This window comes from Homo sapiens, chromosome 11 (assembly GCF_000001405.40).
Source record: "Homo sapiens chromosome 11, GRCh38.p14 Primary Assembly".
In the NCBI taxonomy this organism is placed as follows: Eukaryota; Metazoa; Chordata; class Mammalia; order Primates; family Hominidae; genus Homo; species Homo sapiens.
The window spans coordinates 97,219,302-97,246,627 of record NC_000011.10 but is presented as its reverse complement, the minus strand read 5'-3'; the positions used below and the strand labels follow the sequence as shown (position 1 = coordinate 97,246,627).

Here is a 27,326-nt window from a genome sequence, read left to right as displayed (position 1 = left end):
ATAATGAAATTAGCAAGAGAAAAGCATCTAGTCATCTATAAAGTATACCCCATCATACTAAGCAGACCTTTCAGCAGAACTCTCACACCCCAGAAGAGAATGAAATGAAATTTTCAAAAGTGCTGAAAGAAAAAAACTGTCAATCAAAAATTTTATATCCTGCAAAGATAATTTTCATAAATAAAGGAGAAATCTTTTCCACACAGCCAGACACTGAAATAATTTGTCACCATCACAGTAAAGAAAATGATGGTCAGAGGTCTTAACGAAACAAAAGGCCAATATTAATTATTAGAAAAATACACAGAAATATAACACTCACAGTATGTATAAAACAACTGCACAAAGGAAGAGAAAATAATCAAATGGCAATACGTCAGAATTTCATCCATCCACCAAGACAAAAAGAGGGAAATAAAGGAAAAAAGTTATAAAACAACTGAAAAACAATTAATATCAATATTAATTATGAATGTAAATTGATTAAGTGTTCCATTAAAAGATACAGATTGGCAGAACAGATCTAAAAAAAATCATCCAACTATATGCTGCATACAAGAAAATCACCTTACGTGTAAAGACATAGACTGAAATTAAAGGGTAAAAAAGATATTCCATGCAAATGGTAAGCAAAATCAAGCAGGATAGTACTTATACCACATAAAACAGACTTTAAATCAAAAACATTAATATAAAAAGGTAGTTATTTAATGATAAGAGGATCAGTTCAGCAAAAGATATAATAGTCCTAAATATGTATACACCCAACGCTGGAGCACCCAAGTTCACAAAACAAATATTACTAGACCTAAAGAGAGAGAGATAGGCAACAATATAATAATAGTGGGAAACTTCAGCACCCCACCCGCAACACTAGATGGATCATTGAGACAGAAAATTAGCAAAGAAACATTGGACTTCAATTGGACTTTAGACGAAATGGACTTAACAGATATTTACAAAACATTCTGCCAAACAAATACAGAATACACAGTGTTGTTTTTTTTTTTTTGTTTTTTTTTTTTTTTTTTTTTTTTTGAGACAGAGTCTCACTCTGTCACCAGGCTGGAGTGCAGTGGCTGGCACAATCTCGGCTCAGTGCAACTTTGATCTCCCAGGTTCGAGCGATTCTCCTGCCTCAGCCTCCCAAGTAGCTGGGACTACAGGTGTGCACCACCACACTCAGCTAATTTTTTATTTTTAGTAGAGACGGGGTTTCACCATGTTGTCAGGATGGTCCGGATCTCCTAACCTTGTGATCCGCCCGCCTCAGCCTCCCAAAGTGCTGGGATTACAAGCGTGAGCTACCGTGCCTGGCCAATACACAGTCTTTTTATCAGCACTTGGAACATTCTCCAAGATAGACCACATGTTAGGCCACAAAAAAAGTCTTAATAAAATTAAAAAAAATCAAAATTATATGAAGTATTTTATCAGACTACAGTGGAATAAAACTAGAAATCAATACTAAGGGAAATTTTCACAATTATACAAATACTTGGAAATTAAACAGCATGCTCCTGAACTATCACTCAGTAGATTAATATGGAAATTTTAAAAAATTAAAAATGAAAACAACATATGAAAACCTGTGAGATACAACAAGAGCAGCGTTAACAGAAAAGTCTACAGCATTAAATGCCTACATCAAAACATCTTAAAGACCACAAATTAACCTAAAGTGATGACTCAAGGAATTGAAAAAACAAGAAAAAACCAAACCTAAAGTTAGCAGAAGAAAAGAAATAACAAAAATCAGAATAGCACTAAATGAAATACAGACCAAAAAAAAGATAATACAAAAGATCAATGAAACCAAAAGTTGGTTCTTCAAAAAGACAAACAAAATTGATAAACCACTAGATACAATCAGCAATGTAAAAAGAGACATTACAATAGATATTACAGAAATACAAAAGATCGATGATTATGAACAACTACATGCTCACAAACAAGGAAACCTAGAAGAAATGGATAAATTCCCGCAAACACACAACCTCCTGCGAATAAACCAGAAAGAAATAGGACTCCTGAAGAGACCAATAATAATTAGCAAGGTTGAATTAGTAATAAAAGAATCTCCCAACACACACACACAAATCCAGGACCAGATGAAATTCACAGCTTAATTCCACCAACCATACAAAGAACTAACACTAATATTCTCAAAACTGTATTTTTTAAATCAAGGAAGAAGGAATTCTCCCAACTGAATCTGAGGCCAGTATTACCCTGATACTAAAACCAGAGAAGGATACACCCCCACAGAGAAAAAAAAAAAAAACAACTAGAGACCAATATCCCTGATAAACGTAGATGCAAAAATTCTCAACAAAATACTAGCAAATCAAATCCATCAGCACATAAAATAATGCATCATGGTCAGGTGGGAATTATCCCAGGGATGCAAGCATGTTTTGACATATGTGAATAAATGTGATATATCACATAAAGATAAAAATCATATAATCATCTAAATAGATGCAGAAAAAGTATTCTATAAAATTTGGCATCCCTCCTGATAAAAATCCTCAGCAAACTAGGTATAGAAGGAACATACTTTAACATAGTAGAGGATCAATATATGACCAACTGTCAGCAAACATCATACCTATTGGAAAAAAGTTGAATGAGAACTGGAACAAGACAAGTATGTCGACTTTCTCTACTCTTATTACTGGAAGACCTTGCCAGAGAAATTGGGCAAGAGAAGAAAATAAAATGCATCCAAAATGGAAAAGAAGAAGTGAAATTACCCCTGTTCACTGACTATATGATCTTATATCTAGAAAAACCACTTCAGTAAAGTTCAGTAAAGTTTCAGGATTAAAAAAAAAATTAAGGAACAGAAATCAGTAACATGTATACACACAAATAATGATCCAGCTGAAGACCAAATCAAGAAGGCGGTCCCATTTACAATAGCTACAAAAAGGCAAAATACCTAGGAATAAGTTTAACCAAGGAAGTGAAAGATCCCTATAAGGAGAATTATAAATCACTAATGAAGAAAACCATAGATGGCACAAACAAATGGAAAAATATCCCATGATCATAGATCAGAAGAATCAATATTGGTAAAATGACCACATTGCCCAATGCAATCTACAGATTCAATGCAATCCCTATAAAATTACTAATGTTGCATTTCACAGATTTAGAAAAAAAATCCTAAAATTCATATGGAACCAAATATGATTTCTTGCTCCTGAATAGCAAAAGAAATCCTAAGCAAAAAGAACAAAGCTGGAGTCTGTACATTACCTGACTTCAAATTATACTACAAGGCTATAGTAATCAAAACAGTAGGGCACTTGTACAAGAAACATACATAGATCAATGAAACAGAACAGAGATCCCAGAAACAAAATCCACATACCTGCAACCAAGTGATCTTTGACAAAGTCATAAAAAATATGCACTGGGAAAAGGATACCTTGTTCAACAGATGGTGCTGTAAAAATTGGGAAGTCATATGCTATATGCAGAATGATCAAACTAGACCCATACTTCTCATTATATGCAAAAATTAACCCCAAACAACCTAAATGTAAGACTTGAAACTGTAAAATTTCTAGAAGAAAATCTAGGAAAATCTCCTGGACATTGGCCTAGGCAAAGAGTATTACCAAATCCTCAAATGCAAATGTAACAAAAACAAAAATAGATGAATGGAGCTTAAAGAGATTAAACACAGTAAAAAAGAATCAACAGAGTAAACAGACAACTCACAGAATTGGAAAAAATATTTGCAAATTATATATCCATAAAAGGTCTAATAACTAGATTCTACAAGGAACTCAACAAGCAAAAAAACAAATAACCCCAGTAAAAAGTAGGCACTGTCCACCACTTCAGACATAAAAGTGGCCAACATGAAAAAATACTCAACATCACTAATTATTGAAGAAATGCAAATTAAGACTACAAAGATAAACTGTCTCACATAAGTCAGAAGAACTATTATCTTAAAAGTCAGAAAATAAGAGTTGGTGAGGTTGAAGAGAAAAGGGAAGGATTATATACTGTGGGTAGTAATGTAAATTAGTACAACTTCATGAAAAACACTATGAAGATTTCTCCAAAAACTTAAAATTGAACTATAATTTGACCCAGCAATCCCACTACTGGGTATATACCCAAAGGGGAAAAAAATCATTATATCGAAAAGATATCTGCACTTACATGTTTATCACACCACTATTCACAATAGCAAAGATATAGAATCAACCTAAATGTCCATTGGACAGATGATTGGATATATCACATTTTCTCATATATACACACATACCCCCAACACACACACCATGGAATACTACTCTGCCATAAAACATAAAATAATGTATTTTGTAGCAACATGATGAAACTGGAGGCCATTATCATAAGTGAAATAACAAAGTCAAATACCGTGTGTTCTTACTTATAAGTTGGAGATGGTAATGGGTACACATGAACATACAGAATAGAGTAATATACATTTGAGACTATAAAAGGTGGGATTGGAGGACAGGGATAAGGATTGAAAATTACCTGTTCAGTACAATGTTCACTATTTGGGTGATGAGTACACTAAAAGCCCACCACTACCCATTTATATGCTTATGAAAAATCTGCACTTGTACCCCCTAAATATAGACAAATTTAAAAATTTAAAAAACTGAAAAGTCTTAAAAGGCAAAAGAGTATTAAATCATATCATTATAAAATTAAAAAATACAGACATGAAAAAAGCCCTATATATTACTATAGATTCAATGATACTAGATAGATCTAGACAGATTGACTGACAGATTAAAAAATGCATAACAACACATTGAATAGTCTTCTATTGGGGCAAAAAAAATGGAAGAGAGAGCTAAACAAGAAAAATAAGACATTTAAGACGTAATGAAGATGTATGTCATAAACTGAAGGGTATGATTAATTCAATCTTTGCACAGTCCTCCACACAGGATGAAATTGAAAATAACATACTCAATAGGATGTATCTGAATGTGACATACATGTGATATTTGTTTGTAATTTTGGATGATTTTCCTTGAGGTATTTATGATCTAGTAGTTTTTGCATGCAAACTTCTACTATAAAGAAAAGTACATCGCTAACAAGAGGCCAACTTATCTTAAATGGGCATTGGCAAGGTAAAATTTCAGAAGGAGAAGGGAGCCAAATCAAGCAAGTGTTTTAAATTTATGTTGAAGATATTGGCCTTTATTCTAACAACTCTGGACAGTATTCGCATGATCGTATTTAAATTTTAGTGGATGCAAAGGTAAGAGTGAGAAGGCAGTAGCTCAGCTGAGAGATGAATGTGGATTTGATAAGGGTGAAGGCTGTGGAGAGAGAGTAAAGTGGATGGATTCCAAAAATATTTTTAAGGTTTCTTTCACCCTGCCCTACGATCATCAACTTCCTACAGAGAATATTTAGACATTAATGTTCACAAGGTAATAATTATTATACCTTTAACAGAACATAGCCCAGGAATCACTTCCCTGTTCTTGGAACTACAGCTGGTGGCATTGAGAACATCAACTTTCTAACAAAACCTCTAAGCTTCATTAGCATGGTGTAAATTGAACACCTTGGTATTGCCATAGTCCGGTGTCACATCTTTAAGAGTTAGGTAAGGAAAGAGTATAAGTAGTTAGTTTCAATTTAAATGATTATGACTTAATTTATAAAGAAATTAGTGCTACGAGATTTTTAGACATTAACAGTATATCATTATGTGGCAGAGTCACACAACATAAAACCTGTAATACAGAAAGCCATGAATTTTTTATTTAAGTACTTGGACCCCTTTATGCTGAGAACAACGGGGAAGCAAAACTCAGAAACGTTGAATCAACCACTTTATACGTTCAAACAACCCTAATGAATTTCTATAATGGGCATTTTTTTATACACTAAATTATAGGAAGTCATATAAACCAGTGCTATTAAATGATCTGGTTCATCTACCTGGGAAATTGCTCTGGGTCTGTTATTTAAATCTTCTGGACCTCTTATTCCAGATTTCTTTTTCCTTCAAAATATAATTAAGTGCACTAAATCAAATGTTACAAACTGTAGATACTTTCCTACAAACAAAATATAGTATGGGGGGGACAAAACCCTTACTCTAAATCTTCATCAATCAAAACCCTTCAGCTAATGTTGGCAATGAAAATCTCCACATAAGGAAATGTGGAATCATACTTGTTGCCAAGGTTCAATTTGGGGATTGTGAGGGTCAGGATTATGTGTCAACTTGTCTAAACTGTAGTCCCACTATTCAAGCAAACACTAATCTAGGTGTTGATGTAAAGGTATTTGTGGATATGATTCAAATCCATAGTTAATTGACTCTAAGAATATTATACTAAATAATCTCGGTAGACCTAATTCAATCAATTGAAATACGCTAAGAGCAGAACCAAGGCTTTTATGAGGATTAGATTCTGAGGATAGACAGCATGTCAAGCCCTTGCTTTAGAGTTCTAGCCTGCCCTGACAGTCTTCTCTACAATTTCAGTTGGTCTACAAATAAATACAAGTTGCCTTGCCAGCCTTCACAAATGTAAGCCAGTTTTTTTTAATAAATCTCTTAACATGTATATTTTTTACTGGTTCTGTTTCAGTGGTTGAACCCTAGCTGACATAAGGATACTTTGTAAGTATCAGCTACTATCCTGCTGGTTTAAGGAGAAAGTTTGCAAGCCACTTAACACTCTGACTTGTTTAGGAAAGCATTAGCCTCCCTTTTCTGTACCACTCCAGTGAGGCAAGTATCTGGGACATAGGGATGGTGGAAAGAGTATAAGAATTACTTTAAAAGTTACTAAACTAAGATGCAATCCTAGATTCTGATAATATCTGACCTAACTCCCCTTCCTCCACATTTTGAGGGTATCAATTTCTGGTGTTGTTTTCCACTCCTACTATATGATTAAGTTATCCTCCAGATATTTTTAGGTAGACAATGTGGTAGCTACTGCATTATCCTCATGGGTAGGAAGTGGGGAAGACCTCAGATGGAAAATGAAAACAGCTTTGAAAGAATCAGAAATAACAACGAAAAAGCTTGCAGAAAGAAACTTAATATACCATGTCCTCTAGTGTACAGGTATATTTCATTCATCTAGTTTATTCATCTAGAACATGTGGTCCTCTGTAAGGCAGACACCCTTCCAAGTTACCAATTTGTCCTCTCCTGTGAACAAGTCCTTCTTTCCCCTGATTTCCAGTACTTTCTACACCATTTTATTCTTCAACAACCAAGCCTAAAGTACAGTGAAAGACAGGAATTTCTTCTCAGTTTCAGGATTTTGTCTGAGGCCCTACACCTTTCCTCAATGAATGGTACATGAAATACCAAGCCCTGGACTGAGGATTCTCCAAGACAATCTTACCTCAGAAAAACACAGCAATAATAAATATCACCCAAGAGATATACAAAGTGGCTACTAGGAAGTCTAGAGTAAAGTGGCTGTACACTGTAATAGGGAACACCTTTGTGTATTCTAGAAAAATAGGTCTGGCTGCTGTTCTCCATTTCAACAGTAATGTTTCCTATAGCAATCTACCTTCCCCAGTCCATATCTTGTGACTACCTGCTGTCTACACAGGTCAAACCAGAAATTTAAATAGAATAAGCATCATCTGCCTACAACTTTCAATTTGTGGTAACATTAGTATCTGCCACTCAACCAGTATAGCGTGGTGTTCTTTATTGTTTTTCTAGGTACAGAGAGCTCCAGGGGCTTCCTCTTGGCTCTTCCTACTACAACAGGTATTACCCCATAGGTAGTGGAGGGAGAACAATGGAGATTCTGCATGATGTTGAGATATCAATTCCAAACATATACCCAGATATTGAGATAATAAACATGGTGCTGATTTGAGCAGACACTTCAAAAACCGTACAAATATTTGGAAACACTGTTGTTTTGGCTGACTCCATAGACATCCATAATACTAAAATTCTGCAGTAGCATTCTGGGTTCCAAGATGGAGAAAATAAATTAGAAAAATTCCTAAAATGAGCCTAATTTAGAGCACAGTTACCTTGGTAAATAGTGATAATGCTCTCTGAAGTGAGCTGTGAGGAAGACTCACTGAATGTATTTATGATGTTATTACTGGTTCTATAATATTCAACATTCCTTTTTGTAGAGAATAAGAATGTGGGATTTTGGTGTGATGCAACTTTTTATTATGGTGAGTCAAAGCAGTCCAATTTTGTTTAGGGGACACGTGTCATACAAATGAGGTAAAATTTCAGTCAACTTCTTAACTACTATGGTCCTTGAGATGTTCACTACGGACGAAACTATTCTGGTGTCTCTGTGGGACCTGCCATACATGCAGACAATTATGCCACTTTACATTTGCTAACTGAAGGGACTTCCCTTATGTCTGAAACAACAGAATCCTCCCATTGCTAATGAAATCAGATCTGAAGCATCTCTAACCAGAATTTACAGTGTACAGAGAAAAGTGACCAAGACATTTTCAAAGCGTCTCAAGACTCTTTCACCACTGTATTTCTCAAAGAAAACTATCTTCTAGCTACTCTCAGGGAAAAAAATATGGGATATATACAGGTTGATCACCTGTAAAACACATTGTGTAAACATTCCTATTACCAAACATTTGATTGATTTCAAAGTTTGATCCTCTAACCACATAATTCTATGAAATGCTCATTAAAATGCCTATTTCTAAACCTCAGTCTGTTCTTAATAAATTAGATTTTCCATAATAGATTCTGAGAATATCTATTAACAAAGATATTCTGAAGAACACTAAAATTTGTGAAATCACTGCTAATTTTACTGAAATGTTTCTGGCATTTATCTTTAGTTAGCATAGTTTCTTTACATCTAAACTACAATCCAATTAAATGAATAGTTAGAATTACTCCTTGAACATAATAGCAAATTATCTCAATCTAAAATTAAATTATTTTGCAATAAAAATAAATCGGTATCAATTTCTAGATATTTCTCTGATATCTGCTGATATAAATTGGAAAGGTCCTGCAATTATTTTAATGTATAAGAATTCTCTGCAAGAGTTTGACTTTGTGACTGGAAATATAAAGCATGTTGAGTCCCAAGTAATTTAGGAGAAATGAGGACTTGAGGTCTGTAACATGAGAAAAAATCCACTCTCTTTTGTAAGAAACTTGCTAAAATAAAGAAATTATAGCATCTGCCAGAAAGGAGGTAAGAATCTGATGTGATAGGAGAGAAGGTACTGCTTCATCCAATAACGGATGCTCATACTGGTTAGAAAGGGAACTGAAAGTCCTTGAAATCTTTCTTTCTGTCATAATTATCAATGATCTACTCATTTATCGTCAGTGTCATATTTTCACTTTAAATATCTGTGAATTTATGAATCAGACATTAAAATTTGAAATTTTACAGAATTAACATGTATTTTCAATGTAATAACCAGGTAAGAGCTTTTTTTTCTTATATTTTTCTTGTACAGTCATAGAAAATCCTTCAGTTTTAGTCTCTGCTATAAATTGAGAATTTAGGCTCTTGTATTTGTCATTTTATCTAACTTGTTTAATGCTATTAAAAACAGGATTCTACTGCATAGCTTTTGTACTCTTCATGCCCTCATTCTGTTCTAAGGTCAAAAGTAACTTAAACCCTGAAAGTGATACCTTCATCAGGCATTTTATTCCAGCTGAGTAGAGGTGACAGCTCAATTAGATATTTCATTCCTACATGCCATGGGATGTCAGATATGCTTGTCCCTGCTCTATCACAATTTTTAATTGATTCATGCTCAAATGAGGCCAGTTAACCCTAAATCTTCCTTACTCACCGATAATGGTTTGGCTGTGTCCCCACCCAAATCTCATGTCTTGGTTTTACCACTAATAATTTCTGTCAATTTCAAATTGAATAAGGTTACCTTATCTGTGAGTAAACTGTTGACTCATTAGAAGATACAAATAATTAGTGACAATAGTTTTTACCTTCATGGAGTTTGGCATCTAAACACTCTGGAAAAATCCTATAACCGTCCTAGAATCTGACTTTATTACCTACTAATTTAGGCGGTTTAATTATTTTGTAAACTACTATCTCACCCTTTTTCTCCAGGCCACTGGCAGTGAAGTTGAGGAACTAAGGATGGAAGAGGAAAGAGTTATTAATATTTGTTTTTTCTTCCATAAAAATGTAGGAATAACAAAATCAGCAGAGCAAGCCAAAATCCAGGTAGGAAGGTAAAAACTATTAAGTCAAATGTAGAAGAGTGAAATTGTTGTTAAAATTTAAAGCAGATTTCGAAGCAAGAATTGAATCCAAAATTTGAAAGGGAGGGAGGTCAGAATCATTGAAATGCACTGGGTGAAAACAGGGAACGCTCCAGGGCAATTTTCTAAACAGGTGTTGTATACTTGGCCTTTACATAGTGTATGGATAAACTAGCCAAAAGTAAATGGCTTGAGACAAGAAAAAATAAAGATTATTTTCTGCTTAAAACATAAAAATCGAAAAAATATTGTTTCTGCCTCTAAAATTTTTGCACTCATATGTATCTTTGAAACACTGTTGACACAGGCAAAGCTCTTGGTTAAAATTTATCATCACTACCATCATCACTTTTCTTTAAACCATAGCAGAAATCTCAGCTTGAACCTCTGCTGGGCTGGGCTGGCAAGCTGGCTGAATGAACTGGCCAGAAGTTTATTTTCATGCAATATCAGTGGGTTTTCTGAGAATAAAATCAATCAGAGAAAATAAAGTCTCAATAAGTTTGACCAAGGAATAAAGGTCTATCCTCCAGGTGAAGCTAAAAACAGCCTGATGATTCTCAAGAGATTTATCTGACAAAATGCAGAAAAGTAGGAATACAGAAGCAGAAATAAAGTGAAAATAAAAATCAAACTAAAGTTTTCCAAAACTTTAATATTTATTGTGGAACAAGCAGTACTTATTGATCAGCTCTCTAACTGAAGTGGAAGAAATTATGAGAAAGGAATTTTTGCCTACCTCATACTGGAACACAGTACAACTTTAACATTTTGAAAGTTTCATGGCCTATGGTGTAGCAAGAGAAGAGGTGACAGGAGGACATGGAGATTTCCAGTGGGTCTGCAGAGGAAGGTAGGGAAGCAGCAGCTGCAACCTGCAAGACATAAGATGCCTCCATGTACATGGAAGACACCCTCCAAGGCCTTCATAAATATTTGACATTCTACAAGAGCCACATAGGGAAATAACCAGTGGGATTTGCATTTTTATAGTTACTGTAGCTTCATTTTTACCCATGACTACTTTACATGATCTCTAAAATTATTAGAATTTTAAATATCCAGGAAACAAGGCATTGTGATTTTTTTTGTGTGTGTGTGTGAATGGGCATGTTTTCAAATAAGGAGTGACTTACGAGAAGTTGAGAGTAGCGTGCTAAATGTGTACCATCAATTGGCATACTTAAAACTCACAAAATACTTGATGCTAATTACAAGTCATGCTTTAATCAATATTAGATTTCTAAAAAATTCCAGATTCAAAATAAATTTTAAAAGGGATTCCAAAATTAAATATTGAGTGACCTTTATTCAACAATTGTCAGTAGCATTTTTCTCAGGTAACCATTAAACTAAAAATACCAATTGATTCTAGGTCACATTTTTTATTTTAGGAATTCTCATCGGTGTCTTGATAAGAGTCTTTACGTTCTCTTGCCCTTATTCTGCCATTTCCCTTTCACTCTATTCTTTCTCTGAAATTAAACACTTTTTCACTGCTGCTTAACTCCTCATACTACTTGCTGGACTCCAGACCTTTTTAACTAATGCTAATTCCACTTTTCTGTTTTTTCCCCTCTTGACCTCATTCTCCTTCACCTACTTTCATAAACCTCACTCTTCTTTCTCCTTTCTATCCTGTTCTTTTTACCCTATATGAGTATACCTGTGTCTTTCCTAATTCCTAAGTAATATACCAAAATACTCATATTTTCTGTTTCAACTAGAGTGTTTACTCATAAAACTGGGTATAAAGATACTTAGGTAAAGCCTTTTACAGGTGAGAGAAATTATAATTAATAATTACACAGGATCAAGGTTCTACAGTTCATTTTTCCTTTAATATTATGGTTTCATATCAGTATTTAAATGAATAAATGGTAAATGAATAAAAGTTCTCTAAACATTTAGGTTTCTATTTCTGTTCTTGTATGTTACTAAACTTTTTTGAAGTAAAATCTCATTATGACTGGTATCTACTTCCCTCAAAAAGGAGAATATTTTGATATTTCATATGAGTGGACATCACTGGCTCATCCCGCTAGTTTGTGATGCATGTTAAACAAACACAATTCTGATGCCCACTTCTGTGGGTTGTTGCAAGCATTGAAGTGGATACTATTAAGTCCATATTACAGTTCCTGGCACACAGCCAACATAAACACATAACTTTTCTTCCATAATACTGGTCAAAGTTTTTAAATTATTTTAAAATGTAAAACTGACGCTTGGAGAGGTTAGAAACTTAGAAAGGCTTGCTCGCAGCCAAAAAACTACTAAAAGCAGAAATGCCATTTACAACCAGATGTATCCAACCCCACAGCCAGTGTTCTTGACTATTATAGACCTGCACTGATTTATCCACTCAATATTTTCTTTCCTCTGGGCTGCACTCTGGTTTTACTTGTCCTTCTAATGACTGGGAGAACTCTCAAGTGATATAGAAACAGAGAAAAGATGAATCAATAGAATCACTTGCCCTAGTTTGATTCCGCTTATAAGTCATTTATTGTTGCTAATTAAATATTCACTTTGTACAATGGTAGAAAAATGGGTGTACTTGAGTGATTCATTTTTCTTCAGTTATGGGGTTGAAATTGGGGTGATGGCATAACTAGAGCTCTCTTTAGAGGTTACAGTGTATGACTAGCATTTGGCGTATGGAAAGTATGTATTAATATCTTCATTTTTAGATGAAGGTTGATCATATGCATAAAGTATTATGAGTAGACTAATTCTCAATAATTCTGTTTGGAAAGAACATCATGAGCCTTGAATATAAAGCTGAGGAATTTGAACTTTATAACATAATCCAAAAAAGTGCTGCCAGGTGCAGTGGCTCACATCTCTAATCCAAGCACTTTGGGAGGCCAAGGCAGGCAGATCGCTTGAGACCAGGAGTTTGAGACCAGCCTGGGAAACATGGTGAAACCCTGTCTCTACAAAAAGTACAAAAATTATCAGGGCATGGTGGCTGAGGTGGGAGGATGGCTTGAGCCCGGGAGGCGGAGACTGCCATGAGCTGAGATTGCACCACTGCACTCCAGCCTGAGCAACAGAGCCAGACCCTGTCTAAAACTAGTGATTAAAATTTCTGGTGGGTCAGAAAATTACTCTTGATACAAGTTACCTTACTAAATGAAAATGAATTTGAAAGGCCCCTAAACTGTTTTTAATCTATACCCTTTTTGTATAAAACTGATCTCTGCCAAGAGGCTCAATATTAATGAAATATATATGAGATTCGAAAGTCTGATTTCTAACTCAGTATTAGTATTTGGAAAATTGAGAGGAGAAGTTGGCAAGGTAATGATATTTTTCATCAACATCCTTATAAGTTTCTGTAGGCTAAGATAAATCAAAAGGTATGTTATTTCTCTAAAACCAATTGTGTTCTCAAATTCATCTAGATTGACTCACTGTCATAGTTTTTCACCAAAAATGAAAATCCTTCCTTTTCTAGAGCAGAGATTGTGTTAATTTGCTTTGTGTTACTTATTCATCCATAGACCTACTCTCTGAATTTTTGCCACCCAATAATAGGTGGACAGAATGCTGCTTTTATAGTCATTTTCTCTCAGATAATATGTTTTGTACTTGATTAGCAGATCTATACTTGACAGAGGAGAGGATAGAGAGAAGAAATGCAAATCTAGCCCATTATTAATAGCTAGTATTGGCAGCTATTAAAGTACTTATGATACTCTTTAAATGTTGCACCCAAATGGCTACATATTACATATATAGAGAAGCAGAGTCCAAGGATTAGGAGTCAAAACCTGACTTTGTCAGTTGATAACTATTCCCAAGTACCCAGTATGCAAAAAAGTCCTGTATATGCTATGATAATTTTCAAATTAGCAAACAAGTCACATGAGGACATTGTGCAATGGAAGGGAAATGGCAAAAACACAAATGCTAAAAGAAAATCAATGGCTGAAAGCTCTAAACACATGATATATTCCCATGTTTATGTCTCGTCCCTTCTCTCTTGCAATCTGCTTTCATTCATGCTGTAATATGTAAAATTTCGTCTTTATATACTGTATTGGTCAGGGTTCTCTAGAGGGATAGGACTCATAGGATAGATGTACATATGAAGGGGCATTTATTAAGGAGTCACAAGCACAAGGTGAAGTCCCACAATAGGCCATCTGTAAGCTGAGGAGCAAGGAAGCCAGTCCCAATACCAAAACCTCAAAGACAGGGAAGTTTACATTGCAGCCTCCAGTCTGTGGCCGAAGGCCCGAGAGCCCCTGGGAAACCACTGCTTTAAGTCCAAGAGTCCAAAAGCTGAAGTACTTGGAGTCCAATATTCAAGTGCAGGAAGTATCCAGCATGAGAGAAAGATGAAGGCTGGAAGACTCAGCCAGTCTAGTCCTTCCACATTCCTCTGCCTGTTTTTATCCTAGCCATGTTAAATTTCCTCTTTCTGTACTGTATTAGTCAGGTGGTAGCTGATTAGTTGGTGCCCACCCAGATTGAGGGTGGGTCTTCCTCTCCCAGTCCACTGACTCAAATATTAATCTCCTTTGGCAATACCCTTACAGACACCCAGGAACAATACTTTGCATCCTTCAATCCAAGTAAGTTGATATTATATATTAACCATCACATATGCCCTCCACACTTCCACAACACTGCATATGTTTATGACTTATGACTATAAATAATTTAATCTTTTATTCATACTCTCTAACCCAGGCAGAATAAGTCTCCCGATAGAAACTCTCTCATTATCCTTATCTTGACTGTAGTTGCTCCTCTGTCTTAATTCCATTGCTTCCCTATTTAACTCTAGCAAAACTCTTGTCATACAGATTCAAAACTGTTATTCCTTCCCATTATACCACAAACTCAAATGAGTTTGGGACCAAAATATTTCATAGTTCAGCTGCTAGCATAGTTTCTGGCATGGAATATGAGCTTAAGTACTTTAATATGTTGAATTTGGAAAAAATATGGAACTGACAGTCAAAATGCAAAAGCCTAAGCTCCACAAGTAATCTTAAGACAAACAAGTCACATACCCAGTCCAAATCTGTGAGAATCACATCTAGTATACAGATTTATAGTATTATGTAACATACAAGAAAGTGCTTTGTTAACTGTAAAATAACAGGGTATTTTAATTATTATTAATTTAACTTCAAATCTAATGAAAAGATTATTTGAATTGATGCTTTATTGATTGTACAACAGAAATTGAATGGACACCCTAAGTTAGAAATTAAGTAAAATAATAAACTCTTTTTTTTTTTTTTTTTTTTTTTTTTTTTTTTTTTTTGAGACGGAGTCTCGCTCTGTCGCCCAGGCTGGAGTGCAGTGGCGGGATCTCGGCTCACTGCAAGCTCCTCCTCCCGGGTTCACGCCATTCTCCTGCCTCAGCCTCCCAAGTAGCTGGGACTACAGGCGCCCGCCACTACGCCCGGCTAATTTTTTGTATTTTTAGTAGAGACGGGGTTTCACCGTTTTAGCCGGGATGGTCTCGATCTCCTGACCTCGTGATCCGCCCGCCTCGGCCTCCCAAAGTGCTGGGATTACAGGCGTGAGCCACCGCGCCCGGCCAATAATAAACTCTTAAAATGAAAGTAGATAGAAAAACAAAAATAGAGATCTCAGTGATTTTGTTTCAGAAACTTACACTAGAAAAAATAAAGTTTCAGAGAACTCTTAGGAAAACTCAAGAAGTAAATCACAGTAAAAAAAAAAAAAAACCATATTTGTCGAGACTACTCTGAGGTTTTAAAAGTTTAAGAGAGAAAAGGCTGCTAAATTTGGTCAGAAGAAATTCATTATCATAGATACACTTAATAAGATCTGTTTAAGAGCTGCCATTTTACATTGAAATAGCATTTAATTTACATCAGCCACCAAGCAACTGGCCAATCCTTTTAATGGATTGATTTGAACTAAAGTCTCTAAGAAACAAGAATTCTTAATAATACCTTATAAATGTGACAGTTTCAGATAGTGTAGAATGAGATCCATACCTCCTGGTCTTTGCCATTTTCCATCTCATTACTTTGGTTCCGTTACAAGATTCTATTTTAAGCTCAGCTACTCAATTGTATACACTTTACAGTCTGTTTTCTCAATCTATTTTGACCACATAAGGCAAAAATCACAGCTATCCAATTAATTCCCCTAATTAATAAACTTTATTTTCCCTTCAGCTGCTGATGGCATGCCCCATGCTGTTCATCTAACTATCTGTCTTAAGCCTTCCCTCCGACCTACTTGCATGGATCCTTGATGATTTGGGGCAACATGCCAAGATTTTCACAGCTTTGACAAACACATTAAAAACCCATTAAAACCCCTTCTGCAAATCTGTCCATATATACCACTGTGTCGCAGTTGCATCTCTGCTTCACTTCTTATCCATACCTTTATTGCTTCTCAATTGAATTACTCAGTTCACTTTTGTAATAGCTTGTCAGGGTTCATATTTTCACATTCCATGATGTACGACGTGAAGCTGATCTCAGAAGCTAGCACGCCCACACCTGTACACACAACAGCCATTCCCTCTTCCTCTGGCGATTCTATTCACTATCTCTTCACTAAAGGATTTGTTCCTAACATATATTTTCTTGTTTTTAAACTTAAGAGGGACTTCTTGTTTTCCTGATGCAAATCTGTAATCTATAATTGCCTCTCATTCAATCCCAGCCCTCCACTAATTACTTTGATATTGGTAAATGGAATGTCTCCCCTGAACTCCTGTTGTCTGGAATAGTCTTTCTTATTATTCTCCATCTCATTAGCTCTCTGTTTCCAAGCTCAACTGAAAGCAGAATATTTTTCTAATATCTGGCTTTCATTTTCTCATTCTCTCCTTCACTTTTATACAATTACAGAGGTAAATATCATCCATCCACTGAAAACAGTCATTTAATGTGAATCTCAAAAGACTAATAATAACACATGCATCATAGATCAAAGTGGTAAATATTGTCTGTCTCCATATTAGACTGGCTCCAAAAGATCATTATTTCAAATGGAATTGTTACTGCTTGGTTTGGAAATATTCGACGTGCACAAATATTTAAGAACTTTCTTATATGAAAAGTATCTCTATCTTTAATTTCTGTATCTATGACATGGTTAGCATAGCTGAAATTTCACATCAGGCAACTTTAAGCATTAAAATAAAGTATATTCATTGCCAAGATCATAGTTCAGCATATGGCAAATGCAGGATAATATTATAATTCCCTGGACTTTAATACTGTGTTGATACTTACATCTTTTCAATTTATAAGACAGAAGGCATATATGTATATGTGTGTATATATATGCTACAATTAAATAGTGGTGAAATACAGTATAGTTATTCCTCATATCTGTGAGGGATTGGATTCAGGTCCCTCCTTCCTATCCCTCAGCCCCTGCAGATACCCAAATTGCAGAGGCTCAAGTCTTATAGTCAAGTACTACATTCAAAGTCCATAGTAGTTGCATATAACCTAGGTAATCCTCCTGTATCCTCTAAATCATCTCTAGATTACTTACAAAATCTAATGCAATGCCTGTACATAACTTTATTCATGTGGATTCAACATATTGCTCCATGTGTAGCAAATTCAAGTTTTGCTTTTTGGAACTTTGTGGAATTTTTTTCTGAATATTTTCGATGTATTGTTGGTTGCATCCACAGATGTGGAATCCATGGATGTAAAAGCCTGACTTTATAGAGGAAAACACATTCCTACAACTGTAATATTATTGGGCACTCATTTGGCAACCAACTCTTTGCACAATACTTTAAAATACATTATCTCATGTTGTCCATGATGTAGTTGCTACTGTCACTCTCATTTTCCTAAAAGAGAAAGGTTTTGAAAGTCGAAGCAGCTTGCCCAAATTTGTACTGTCAATGAGACCCAGCTTGATATTCAAACTTATGTCTTCTGACTTTATATTCTAAGTTCTTATTGCAAATTCATCTAATAAAGCTTCATGAGATAATTTTAACTTGGATTAATAGAATTATGACACATAGAGATAGTCAAATGTCCTTCTAAAATTAAGGAGCAAAATGAGTGTCTTTTTAAAGGAGAAGGGAGAGTCCAAAGATATGCATCACAAGGCTTCAAAGAGAAGGTTCATTACATTTCTCAGAAATAGTACAATTCTCAACAAAAATAAACAATGGGGAAAGGACATCATATTTAATAAGTGGTATTGAGAAAACTGGATAGCCATATGAAGAAAAATGAAACTGGACCCCTACCTCTCACCTTATACAAAAATTAACTCAAGATAGATTCAAGACTTCAAGTTAAGACCCGACACTTTACAAATCATAGAAGAAAACCTAGGAAAAACTCTTCTGGACATTGGCCTAGAAAGAAAATTTATGATTAAAACTTCAAAAGCAAATGCAACAGAAACAAAATTAGACAAATGTGAGTTAACTAAACTACAGAGCTTGTGCATAGTGAAAGAAACAGAGTAAACAGGCAACCACGCAGAATGGGAGAAAATAATTGCAAACTTTGCATCTGACAAAGGTCTAATACCCAGAATCTATAAGGAACTTAATTCGACAAGAATAAAACAAACTGGTCAATGGACAATTAAAAAGTGGCCAACAGACATGAATGGATACTTCTCAAAAGACGAAGGGGAACTTCACACACTGGGGCCTGTCATGGGGTGGGGGGAGCAGGGAGAGATAGCATTAGGAGATATACCTAATGTAAATGACGAGTTAATGGGTGCAGCACACCAACATGGTGCATGTATACATATGTAACAAACCTGCACGTTGTGCACATGTACCCTAGAACTTAAAGTATAATAAAAAAAAGAAGAGGTAAAATTAAAAAAAGACGACATTCAAGCAGCCAACAAACAATGCTTAATATCATTAATCAAATAAATACAAATTGAAATCACAATCATATATTTCACACCTTTCAGAATGGCTACTTTAAAAAAAAAAAAACAAAGGAAAGTACCAACAGATGGCAAAAATGAGAAAAGGGAATGCTTATACACTGCTGGAGGGAATGTAAATTAGTTCAACCCCTATGGAAAACAGCACAGAGATTTCTCACAAAACTAAAAATGTAACTACCATTCGACACAGCAATCCTACTACTGGGTATCACCCAAAGGAAAAAATATAAAAGCATTCTTTCAAAAAGTCATCTGCACCTATGATGTTTATCATAGCACTATTTATAATACAAAAATCATGGAAACAACCTAAGCCTCCAACGGTGGATTAAAGAAAATGTGTGTCTACACACACACACACACACACACACACACATAAATGGAATAGCATGCAACCATTAAAAGAAACGAAATCACATTATTTACAACCAAACGAATGCAGCTAGATATCATTATCTTAAGTGAAATAACACAAACAGAAAATCAAGCACTGCATATTCTCACTTACAAGTGGGAGCTCAACAATGAGTACCCATGGATATAAAGATAGAAACAATAGACAATGCGGACTCAAAAATGTGGAGGCAGGGAAGCAGGGAGAGGACAAAGGATTGAAAAACTATGTGTTGGGTACTAAGTTCACTATTTGGGCAATGTGTTTACTAGAAGCCCAAACCCTACCATTACTCAGTATACCCATGTATCAAACCTGAATATGTACCCCTGAAACTATAATCAACAAAAATTAGCTCAATTCCACAAAATATAGAGATGAAGGAACAATGAGAACGTATGGACACAGGGAGGGGAACATCACACACTGGGGCCCGTCAGGGGGTGAGGGACAAGGACAGGGAGAGCATTTGGACAAATACCTAATGCATGTGGGGCTTAAAACCTAGATGACGGGTTGATAGGTGCACCAAACCACTATGGCACATGTATACCTATGTAACAAACCTGCACGCTCTGCACATGTATCCCAGAACTTAAAATAAAAAATAAAACATTCCTACAAAAGGAAAATATGTAGTCCACTGTTTTTACAGAGAATATAAAAGTAAGGGACGTTTTAAACTGAAGTTCAACATACCATGCTTAGCACTATTTTGAGCACAACATAAACACAGGGTAAATGAAGTACAGTTGATTCATGACCGGATTAACAGATTGACAAAGAGAAAAAGTAGCTCTTTTGCTAGCAAAAATATTGGAAATGAGCTGGGGCACATAATTTACAATAATTCCAAATAAAATAAGTTTAAATATAGCATTTTATGGCTTATAAAATTTATAAACAGTGAGGAAATACACAGCCGTTTTAGTAATTATCTCCATTTCTGGAGGGGAAACTAAAGCTGAGAGTGACTTTCCTCAGTGAGTCAGTGACAGTCTGGGATGTGAGATCTGGTCATCTGATGCAAAGAGAAGCGTAACAGCAATACCATAATATGTGTGGAGATTACTATCTCTCACTGAGGGACATGCACTCATCATTTCCCTACAGCCAGTTCATGCTCCGCAAGGGCCTAGGCAGAACTATGCTCCACACAAAACTGTCTACCGTAAACTGATCCTTTGGAACAGAGATTTACCAGATCGCATCCTGAAACATTCCATATCATGCCCTCTTTTGCTCTTTTCTAACAACCTGAGAACCAGTTGGCTCACTGAGGATGAGAGATGTGCAATTACCTAGTTAATGTACGTTGTGCTGGCTCACATTCTCACACACAGCCTGAAGTACAAAACACATTCATAACTAGTGAGACTTGAAAAATCTCAGTAAGAAAAGACTTTCCATTGCTCCCTCCTCTTATCATGTGCCTTTTTTTTAGAGAAAGAATCTGGCTTTCGAGATTCTGTGGCTTACAATGCGAATAGCTATGAAGGAAAGATTATGAAAATGAGAAAATGTGGAAACAAAGCCTGGGAGAAGCAAACTGAGGCTAGAGCCAGGTCTTGTACTCCTGAATGTCACTCCCTGGCCCATTTCATTGTACTTTGCCCTTTTCATTTCAGTCCTAACCACTGATCTCAGGATACTCTGCATTGAATCAGGACATAGCAATTGCCCTTTATGAGACCCACATTCAGTTATTCAAGTCTTAATGTTCTGGACACCTTTAGGAGATCTTTTCATTATAGGCTCACAGTATCCAAGTAAGAGAATAAAGAATTTCTTCTATCTAAAATGCTGTGCTAAAGGTTTCAAAACTTCAGAGACCTGCAAACTGTGGCTTAAATAATACTAAGGGTAAGCTCTTACAGGCGTCTGAACCCTCGGTTCCACCTAGGGAAAGGGCTCCTTTGTGTGTAACTTTTCTGTTTTTCATGCCATTCCTGTTGAGACCTTTTCACTAAATCAATGCCTTTTCCCTTTGACTTTGATACAGACAGTGTCTTGTTATCTACACCTGAAGTCTCCAGATCTATTAATCACTTTAATTTGCTAACTAGGGTAGAAGACAGGATGAGCGGTTTGAGGGCTTCTGATTTGCAGTGGTTACCTAGGCTAAAACAAAACTTTTTAGTCTCTTTTTTTCAAACATTATTCCATTGTACTATAGAATATGCTCTAGGGAACAATCCTCTCCTGGCAGGCAATGAATGAGATGACCTTAATGGAGCTCTTTTCCATCTAATGTCTATGACTCTTTAATTCAGTTATCCTTCAGGCATGGGAAGAGCTTTCCATCATTACCCCTAATTTGTCTAACTATCGACATTACTTCAAAAAAAGCCTCCCAAGGTATGTTCCACTTTTCTGTCACGCTTGAACTTCTGTTTCATGTCACTGGCTGCCTCTGTTGATATAGGATTTCAGCCCTGCCAAAATCACTTTCTGGTGTTCCTCCAGATTGTTATTGAGACACTTGATAAGATGTCTCTTTCCATGACAGATGTGAAAGCATTTGTCTCCCATTTTATGACAGGTACATTTCTAGCATCACTCATTGCTGCATATTTATATAGGTTAGTATTCCAGAGATAGAAACCAAGCCGTATATATGTATAATTTATACACAATCTTCCGCTTCTCCTGTTGTTTGAAATTCAAGATACTATCTCGTGAATGTTTATAATCTTGAACAGGCAGAGCTCTAGGCAAAACATACCCTGATGCTGTCTTCTCTGAATCAACAGTGGAGACTTGTCAGACAAATGATTTTAGATCAAAGGAAAAGATTTAAAGAAACAAGGAAAGAATGAATACACTCATACAGTATTCCTCTGACTAGTGGAGTGTAGGTGGTATTAGTATCTAGAATTTTACATGTAGAATTTACAAACTATACACATGTGCAGTTAGGGACTTTACTGAGTTTATTTTTTAAAATTAGTTATTCTTTACATGGCAACTGGCTTCAGGAGTAAATCACCTGGCTTCAAAGTATAATTCAACATGAATGGATGGACTTTAAATGAAACTGTGTACAAATACAGAGGAAGATGCATATATTATAAATTATTTTTAAAACTACTCTGAGCAGGGCATTTCCAGGCCAGCTTACTGAACCATTCTTGTGGATGTTATGTTTTTCAGGGACATGTAATCAGCGAGTACTGACTTTCTCTCCCATCCTTCATCTTATTAATGTGCTGCTTGAATAAAAGATGTGGCCACTGATCCAGTAGGAAATGCGCATCTGGTTTCCATCACCAATTGAGATGTTTAGAACTGCATGATTCCATCAATTCCCTGTCTTGGCTATTCCCACCCAAGGGCTCAAGATCACTCTCAAGTAACTAGCGTACTCAAAAAAGCAGTTTCAATCTTCTCTTACAGATTACATTATGGAAGACATATGCTTGCTCAGTGTAAGAAGCATTATTTTAGTATAAATTCTAAGAATATAAGTACAGACATTGATATAGGTTCAGCTGTTGACGTAGGCAGAGGCAGAGATGGCTTTGAAGTAGATTTGCTCCTTATGAATCCCTCTTTTCTTTCCTACAAATTCTGTGACTTCAGTTAACTGATCTTGATAAATGTCGTCCTGGCAAAATGCGAACTATATTAGACCCAGCCTCATAGGATTCTCCTCAGTAGTAAACAGGTTCATGCAAGTGGGATCACTGGCAAACAGTAACATACAAGATAAATATTAATTATTGTTAAATACACACTATGGAAAGTGTAATGTTAGAACTAAACTTTTCATTTACCTTCTTCTGAAAACCTTAATACAGATACGTGTTCTCCTCCTCTGCCCACCTCTCAATACATACCAATACACCAAATTCAATCAATCCAGCATTTTTAGTTACTTATCCACTCATAGTCCTCATCACCAAACCATCACCACTACCACCACCACACCCATAGGCACCACCAAGTACCTTTGCTTATGTGTCTTTCTGAAATGCTTTCCTCTCCCTACTCGTTATTTAGCTGGCTAATTCCTATTATTCTCTGTGATTTTCCTTAGGTATGACCTCCATAAAGAACCTTCATATCATCTTGCCCTGCATGAAATATATTAGAAGCCTTTGCTCTGGTCTTTCATGGTACTTTTAAAGGATATTATCATTTACAAAATGGAATACCAATGACTTTTCACAAGTGGTCTATCAACTAAGCATGTACTTAAGTAAATATTTTCAGAGGATTTCATTAACCTCTGAGTGAATAGTTGAAAAAAAAGAATGAAACAGATATAAGTCCATGTTTTTATTTGTAAATAAATGTATTGCCAAAATTACATACAAATAACAAATAATGTCTCGAGTGACATGCAATGATCAAAATCCTCAAAAGAATACTTTTGTTTAGTAGAGATTTGAACAAATAAACTACAATTTAAGGAGACTGTTGTATTTCTTTTGAGATAACCCCATAAGTTTTACATTCTGTATCAAGGCATCCATTTGCAGTAATAAAGATTCAAGGCTTATCCCTAAAAGGCAATGCCCATTCTTTATAGTCAATATGATCCTGCTAGCACATAAAGCCTGAAGAAATAACAGATACTAGATTTAAAACCACTTTACTAAAATTAATCCATGGTGATGATATGGAAGAAAACCACAGGAGTCTTGAGAAAATAAACTAGCTGCTGTCTGGTTGATACCAGAAATAGAGATTGGTATAAGGAAAAAATTAAAAGAAAGAAGTATCACAAATAAGAATGATTGATACTTATTAGAAACATATCTGGAAATAGATGATTAGGAATATTAAAAATAAAAATGAAGAGGTATATATGATGCCACTGAAGAAACAAGCAAAATTCAAATGAATAAAAGGTAAACAAGAAATCAGGAAATAAAAAAAGTCCAATAAAATCTGAAAAGGGAAAGAAGGCACAAAGTAAGTATCAATAAAGAAACCACAATATCATTACTGCAAAGTCAGAGGTCAAAACATCATAGCTATAGAAACCTTAAAGAGACTTTTTAAAATATATCATTTCTAAGAGGCCATAATATACAATAAGTTACAAATATAAAAATGTTTTAATATTTACAATTTAACGTACATGTAGACAATAAAGTTATGGGAAAAGAAACAAAAGACAACAAAAGTAACATCCCTACTTATGTACACTCACTATGCTTTCACGGTACATACTTTTACTTTCCAAACCCTAACAATTATATAGCATTTCACACAATAAAATTTTATATAGCATATCTGAATTACTTCAAAGCTTAATGCGGATTTAAATAATAAAACTTTACTATTTTGATCATAAATTAAGCAAATGAGACTAAAATGACATTTTTTATTTTCAACTTAATGGTTATTTAATAATCACTGCACTCCTTGGGGATGTTAACATTGTAGAACTCGACAAATTAACAAGATAGTTCTAGGTTGACTCTATTTTCTCTTAAATATTAAATTTATGATTTGCTAAAAAAAAAAAAAAACCTCTAATAAGGACACAGAACTTATAGTTTGCCAGTTTGTGTTACAAGAACTTTCTACACTGAGGAAGATATGAACACTAGTTATCACACTCCAAACACTCTGCTTCCTGCACATACCATCTCCTGCATTGCCTATTTTTTCTAGCAAAGCACTTAGTAATCACTTGTATATGTTTAATTGTGGAAGTCTTAAAGCTGTAATAATTTATATTGTGTAAAATAGAAAGGACGTGAATTCAGTACATCAGGGATGGAAAATATGCTCTTACTCATTCTCCTGTGGCTGAAGTAGAAATCAGTAGTATGTATGTAAACCTTTTTTTCCTGAGCCTCAAAATTCCTCTCAATGCTCAGTTCCAGGCAGCCATTACCAATTGCTAAGAGTTAGCATATGGGTGAAAATTGATTTGACATCTCTAGTTAGAATATGAAATGCTGGCGTATAAATTATAGGTCAAGAGATCACAGGTATCTGGATAAGCAATATCATTCAGTTACAAAAAAAAATTGGTGTGCAGGGTTAATATGAAATCTGAGAACTATGTAAACCATTTCTCAGAGATTAAAGCCATGATATAGTTACAATGTAGCCAAAACTGGCTGTGGAACATAGAGAACTCGTAAGTGTTACTGTCTTAGATAGCTGGAACGATCACTGAGACTACTCTTTTATATGTTAACTTGTTTACTGCTCACAGCAAACTTATATGTTGAGTACTATGATTATCATCTACCTATCCTCAATTAAAACACATGTACCCTAAAACTTAAAGTATAATAATAATAAAATAAAAACAAAACAAACAAAAAGAAAACAAAGAGATCTTATTATCATCCCCAAGTTAAACTGCATAACAAAAGGTAGAGGTGGGATTTTTAACTAATTTATCTTCAGAGTAAGTGTCTCTACTAACTTCTATACTTTCTGTTGCCTATGCAAGTCTGTTATAGAAATCAAATAAGAACATGTGGGTAAAAGTGAGTTTAAACCACTAGCAGATGTAAGGAGTTGATATTAATAATGAATCCATGAAACATGCAGGGGGGTTAAAGGTTGGGTTTGCAAATAAGAGGTTTGTGTTTGTTTGTTGTTGTTCTTTTTTTTGAGATAGAGTCTCGCTGTATCACCAGGCTGGAGTGCAGTGGTGCGATACCAGCTTACTGCAACCTCGTCCTCCCGGGTTCATGCCATTCTCCTGCGTCAGCCTCTTGAGTAGCTGGGACTACAGGTGCGTGCCACCATGCCTGGCTAATTTTTTGTATTTATTGTAGAGACAGGATTTAACCACGTTAGCCAAGTTGATCTTGATCTCCTGACTTTGTGATCCACCCACCTTGGCCTCCCAAAGTGCTGGGATTACAGGTATGAGCCATGGCACTTGGCCTTTTGTTTTGCTTTGTTTTGTTGAGACAGAGTCTCACTCTGTCACCAGGCTGTAGTGCAGCAGCATTATCTCAGCTGACTGCAACCTCCACCTCCTGGGTTCAAGCGATCCTCCTGCCTCAGCCTCCCAAGTAGCTGGGACTACAGGTGCGTGCCACAACGCCCAGCTAATTTTTTGTATTTTTAGTAGAGACAGGGTTTCACCACATTGGCCAAGATGCTGTTGATCTCTTGCCCTCATGATCTGCCTGCCTTGGCCTCCCAAAGTGCAGGGATTACAAGCATGAGCTACCGTGCTGGGCCAAGAGTCCATTTTAATATGTGGGTATGCTGTGGCCATTCAGTCAGTAAGTGCTGAAAATATCAGAAGACTTTATTTCACTGGAGTAATATTTGAATTTTAACACTTTGTTATATTATCCTCAAGAAACCAAACAGGGAGTCAATGCCAACATCTCAGTGATTTTCTACTGATACCTGACTACCAATCTTCTGTTGCTTCATCTGCTTTATACTTTACCAGGAACTCCTTGAAGGTAGGGACCATGATCTTTACAGTAGGTATTGATAGAGTAGGTATTCTATAAATAGGTGTTAAATGAATAAGTGAGTTAATCGTAATTATATTTACATTGACTTTTACTCAGACAAAATGCCAGCGTCATTTTTGGAGGGCTTGCCTTTAAACTTGAGTCTCTGAACTTGTGCTAGCAATATTTTTACAAAAACAGAAGCCTGCAGATATCCAACCCCCATACCCCCAACACACATACACATGACCCTTTCCCTATAGTAGCTTTCATCACAACTCTGAGGGTGAAGAAAGCAGGGCTTAAGTTGCATGTTCCTTAAAATATGCATCTCTACTGAGCAGAAGAGAAATTGGTTATG

The 27,326-nt window shown here is 35.6% G+C and overlaps 1 long non-coding RNA gene across 1 annotated transcript in view; it reads left to right on the top strand.

The window, feature by feature from the left end:
• LINC02553 (long intergenic non-protein coding RNA 2553) overlaps positions 1-23,985 on the top strand; it is a 36,991-nt gene extending 13,006 nt beyond the window's left edge. The window contains exon 2 of the long non-coding RNA XR_007062858.1: positions 23,608-23,985. This is a non-coding gene — a long non-coding RNA (long intergenic non-protein coding RNA 2553). The remainder of the gene's footprint in view (positions 1-23,607) is intronic.
• Positions 23,986-27,326: the final 3,341 nt, after the last annotated feature.